The sequence below is a fragment of the Homo sapiens genome, chromosome 14 (assembly GCF_000001405.40).
Source record: "Homo sapiens chromosome 14, GRCh38.p14 Primary Assembly".
Classification (NCBI taxonomy): domain Eukaryota; kingdom Metazoa; phylum Chordata; class Mammalia; order Primates; family Hominidae; genus Homo; species Homo sapiens.
In genome coordinates this window covers 66017877-66023876 of record NC_000014.9, presented here as the reverse complement: position 1 = coordinate 66023876, position 6000 = coordinate 66017877, and positions in this window count along the sequence as shown.

The window sequence follows — 6000 nt, the reverse complement described above, 5'->3', positions numbered from 1 at the left end:
GCTTTAGGGAGCGACAGGTTTAGGATACAGATGCCTCAGTGCTGATCCTTCTCTCTACAGAAAAACAAGTAAAAGACCCAATCTAGATTGACAGCCTACTATATGGCAGCACTGCACATTAAAAGAAACAATTTACATTTTTATATGTATTTAGAATTTCAGAACTTAGCAGGTCCTTATTTAGAGACAGAGGAGAAGGAAGATGGAGGAGAGAAGAAGGAAGGGAGAAAGAATACTATGCTTACCAAAGGGATTAAGAGCAAAGACTCTGGAGAGTTTGATCCCAGCCACTTTACCAGCTCTAGGTTTCGGGCAAGAAACATCACCTTTCAGGGCCTTAGCTTCCCAATTTATAGGATAGGAATAAAAATAGTACCTACTCCCTGGGGTTGCAGTGTGGATTAAATGAGTTAGCACGTAAAACCCTTAGAGCCATTCCTGGCACAGGGGTTGAGCTCAGTAAATAGTAACTGATGCTATTTTTTATATTGTTGGACAATATTGCAGGCCAGAAGCACCATGTTTGTTGGATGAAACTCTGTCTTTGCATAGAAAGGACTAAGGCTTTGAGCTTACTAGCCACAGGAACTTGGTCCCTTGACTTCCTCCCTCGGTGTCTCCCATCTATAAAGCAAGGATGCCAATAATCTCTGCCTCATCAGGTGTGTTCTAAGAAGAAAATGAGGCAGCCTTCATGCCTGACCTTCTATGCTCTGTGAAGGAAATTGGAATGGCTCTATTATTTGAAAGTCATAAAATTACTAAGTCACCTTGGGTTTGCCTTCCTTGTTTGCTGAAGCTAGAACCTCTGTCAGCTCCCCTCCTCCATCCTGAGGTTAAGTGTTTGCCTTCACAGATGCTCAAGACTCCTGAGAAAAGCCAGTCCAACCTCCACAGCCTCCAGAATGCTGCAGGGTTTCATCCTGGGCAGATTCACTTCAGAACCCCCACACCTGCTCAGGATGGGACACTGAGGACCAGCCGAGAGCTCAGGCTCCACAAAACGCTCAACAAACTGGGCACGCTGGGCCTGGGAGCTACCCAGGCAGCTGGGCCGTGAGGAGGGCAGGAGCTCCGGCTCCTCTCCAGCTGGCAGGTCTGCTTAATGAGCTGCACTCAGAGCACAGTGACAGGGGCCTTTTGATGGGCAGAGTCATTAGCACTCCATTTTAATTATGCCTCCTGGCGTTCCCCATCGCTTTTCTTTCACTTTACCTGACAGCGCTACTAGTGGCTCCCAAATGCCAAATGGTAACAAGTAAATTGAATTACTGTAAATGTGGATGACTATCAAACTGGTTGGAAAACAAAGGACATTAGTCTTCTCTTTCAGTGTCAGCTGAGCAAGTCTTGCCTTGCCTCCTTGGGGGCCCAGGAAGGGGGCTTATATCTGAGATTCACTTATGTCTCCGTGGGGTCTAATTTCTAACAACCGGTGCAGACAGCCCATTCAGGAAATGCAAAGAACAACCTGTCAGTAGCTCCTTAATGCCATTCCAGCAAGGAGATAAGAGAATGGAGAGAGAAGAAATACAGCTATCCCCTCCAGGTAGCTCTGAGAAGATGGGGACTAACATAGAAAGGAAGCATGAGGGGAGGAGCAGGGGAGGGACATGCTCCTCATTAGGAATTATTTCTAACGTTTCTATGACTATCATTGTGATTAAGAACTGTTCTTTGAGAAGAAAGAGGGATCTCTCAAGATAAAAAGGTTATTCAAGAAGGTTCTGTTGGTGGCAAACTCCACTGACGTTTCCCTGAACAATATTTTTTTCCTGTATTTCCAAAAGACATTTTTGCAGGGTATACGATTCTTGATGGGTGGTTATTTTCTCTCAGCCTTTGGAGATAGAATCCCTCCACCTGCTGGCTTCCATTACTGCTGTTGAGGAGGCTAAAGTCAGTCAATTGCTGTTGCTGGGATCTGAATTTCCTCTCTGGCTGTTTTTAAGATCGTCTCTTTGCCTTTGGTATTAAAGAGGTTTCACTACAATGTGGCAAAATGTTGTTGATGGAAAAAGCTAAACTCTGTAAAATACTTGAAGAGGTTTATTCTGAGCCACATATGTGAACCATGGTCCATGACACAGCCTCCGGAGGTTCTGAGAACATGCGCCCAAAGCAATTGGGTTATAGCTTGGTTTTATACAGTTTAGGGAGACAGAAGTTACTGGCAAAAACATAAATCGATACATGTAAAATAGACATTGGTTCGGCCCAGAAAGGTGGAACATCTTGAAGAGTGAGGGCTTCCTGATTGGCAATTGGTTGAGAGAGTTAAGCTTTGCCTGAAGAGTTGAAGTCAGTATCAATAAATGCTTGAGTTAAGATGGGGCAGGGGGTTATGGAAGCCAAGGTTCTTGTTATATAGATGACACCTCTAAGCAACAGACTTCAGAGAGAATAGATGGTAAATGTCTCTTACTGGACCTTAAAGTGTCAGACTCTTTGGAAAAGACCAAGAAAGTATAGGAGATTCTCTACAGTATGCAAATTTCCTCCACAAGAGATAACTTTGCAGGGCCATTTCAAAATATGTCAAAGAAATGTATTTTGGGGTAAAATATTTTGATTTCCTTCAGGGCCTGCTATGTGTCATATGATGCTACGCCAGAGTTAGGTTGGAGCTGGGTATCTTATTGCCACAAAGAATCTGTTTTTTCAGTCTTATGATCCCCCTTTTAATGTTAGTGCTGGTCAGTTGTGCCTAAACTCCTAAGGGAAGAGGGTATAATGAGGTATGTCTAGGCCCCCCTTCCCATCATGGCCTCTCTTGGCCAAGGAGATTCCATTCAGTCAGTGGGGAGACTTAGAATTTTATTTTTGGTTAACAGTATAAATTTATTTTTATTATCGTGCTTGGAATTTGTTGCAGTTCCAAATCTGGAAAATTCTTGGCCTTTATTCTTCAAACATTGCTTCTCCCCATTTTCTATATTCTCTCTCTGGAACTCCCCTTAGACGCATGTTTGACTTCTCTGCCCTTCATATCTTCTTGTTTCTCAGGTTTTTATCTGTGGGAATCCCAAGAGTCTGGTTGAAGGATTTTCCTCCAGAGAGGATTTGCATTTGCTTCTGCCACATGCTAGGGGTGCTTCCAACACTGGGTTGCTTTGAATTAATTTCTCATTAACTAATATCTCTGGGTTTTTCTGGTATACATAGGTAGTGTTTAAGCTCCAAACCTGTATGGGCACAGGCTTGTGGTTACAAATATTTAAAAGAGATTTTTCATCTTCCAAAGGCCAAAGCAAAAATAGCCACATTTTTTTGTTTGTGCCCTTGTGAAGCAGAATTTTTTCCTAGTGTTTTTTTTTTCCCAGTGGGTGTAGCATGTAGGGAATTCCTGCCCTTCCAATTCCCTACCTGGTGGTGAGCCATTGTCTGGACACCTGCCCCACCATGGCCATAAAAACCCACGGCTCTAGAAAAGATGATGGGGCCAAGGAACCCCTGGAGGGCAGCTGTTGGCTTCCACAGCCACTTTATTTTCATATTCTGAGCCTTTCTCTACTGTCTCAAAAGTTCTGAATTCTTAAAACATTTTGTTCCGCATTTTAAGTTGTTATTGTTTGCCTGTTTATTTTAGAATGGGAAAGTTTTCAGGATTTCTAGTCCACTGTATTTTTCACCTTCTGTATTTATAATCACCTCTTGGAAGAATTTATCAGCTTCTCACTCTCTTGATATTCCCTTTGTTCCCAGCACTCTCCTATCGTATGGGAAGAAAATACCTCCTTTTGTATGTTGTATCTCATACATTGCTTAGCCTCTATTTTTATATATATGCTTTATCATGTGCACCTTATGTTAGTATATTAGTATATTCTTATAATGTATTAATAAATAAAAATACAATTTTTAACTGATAGGGATATGGAATCATGAGAGTTTGGAGACTCCACTGCCTTTTTTTTGAGACAGAGTCTTGCTCTGTCACCCAAGCTGGAGTACAGTGGTGCGATCTCAGCTCACTGCAACCTCTGCTTCCCAGGTTCAAGCAATTCTTCTTCATCAGCTTCCCTAGTAGCTGGGGTTACAGGTGCCCGCCACCACACCCAGCTAATTTTTCTATTTTTAGTAGAGACAGGGTTTCACCATGTTGGCCAGGCTGGTCTGGAACTCCTGACCTCAAGTGATTCACCTGCCTCAGCCTCCCAAAGTGCTGGGATTACAGGCATGTGCCACCATACCCAGCCTCCACTGCCTTTTAAAGCCCATTGTCTATGTTTTTATGAGTTTTAGGGTTGGAAAGAAAATATTCAGAGCTTTGTGCACACTGAACTCTGCTTCTTCAGACTAAAAACAAAAGGTCTGGCAGGGTTACGCAGACAGATCCTGTACCTCAGGGCGGAGGTGGGTAGGCAGGTAATGTACTTGCTGGGCTGCAGGTTAGGAGACTTTGGTTGAGTCTAACTGACCCATGCTCTAAGACTCATTTTCGCTTCTCTTCTGTAGCCCATGATTTTTCATTTCGGCATTTCTCTCTGCTACCTAACAAGCTTTTCTACAGCTTTGATTCACCCTATTGATACCATAATAGTTTAGTTTCTCTGTTTAAAGAAAAAAAATAGAGAACTGGCACAAAAAAAAAAAAAAAACCTATCAAAACTTTCAAAAACAGTTGACAGCTTCTGGCCCCAAATCGCCAGTTGAAGCTCACCTGGGTTGTCCTCCAGATACCTTGCCTAGGGCTGTATTTGCTGTGAGCCCCCCACCACCCTTTCAGCAATCTGTGATGCCATGTTCCTCTGCCTATCTGTCTGCATTCCCTGTCTGGGTTATGTTTTCAGGCCTCAGAGAGTGCATTTCATCCTGACAGTGGACACAGTGAACGAGGTTCAAGGAAGCCGCCTGGCTGAATGACCACAGTTCAAGAAGTCTATTAACAAAAGCTAGAGAATCAGAGCTGTCTTCCCCATTTTGAAACTGAACTGCAGCCTTGGATTCTTTTTTGATTATGATCCCAGGTCTCTCATTTCCTAAAATGACCCCAAATGGGGGTGTAGAAAAATGCTCAGTCTAAGGCTATTTACTGTTTATAGCCTTAGAAGATAGTACACAGAAGACTCACATGATAAATATTATATAAGTATGTGTGTATCTGTCTGTGTCTGTGTAAATTGATACAATCCTTGTGATAGCAACAGCTTTTATGCAGTCATAAATAAGTCTTTAGATGTAGAATTGTGATACTCTGGTTTATTAGTATTAAGGAAACATGGCACAAATGAACAAAACATTTCATGCTACAGTGCTTGTGTGCACTGTTACCTCCATCACATAGACATATGAATGTGCCATGTCATAGGTGAGTCACTCACTCCCAAAGACATTCAAAGCTGAAGCTGGAACCATTTTTTTTTATCAGAATCTTCGAGAACTCTGAATCCATTAATGTGGACAAAAAAAGGTCCAGACTGCACTGTGCCAATGGGCACTATTACCTCCTGTTCAGTCAAGTGAAATAAACTGGGTCTCCAAATAGGCTTACATTTTCTGAGCTAACAGTCCTCCCCTGTTTATGTTTTCTACTTAAGGAGGATATTTTTTAAAAGCCTATTTCACATAATCAATTTTAGTGGGCCCTTTAAAATGGAAGGTGAGCTGGAGGTAGTTCAGTTTGTTTAACAAGAACTTCAGCTTATTGAAGTGAGCATTAGCGTATCATGTCCCCATATGGCAGTCATTAGAGACAGGGGAAACTTGAGAAGCTTATTACTCTGAGATAGCTAGTAAAAAGAATTGAAGACAGTTTTATAGGACCTAAAGATAGTGCCAATAAAGTAAGGACAAAATCCATTTGTAAGTGATAAGCAAGAGGAGGAAATCTTTGAGAAACTAAAAGGTCTTAGCTCTACAGTATACAAAGTAGAGAAGCTTTCAGGTGACAAGTCTATGGTTCATGTGCATATTCATTAATGTATTTACCTTTCTCAGTCACTCAGTTAACCAGTGTTTATTGAGCACCTACTATGTTCCCAAATGTGGTGACTCCTG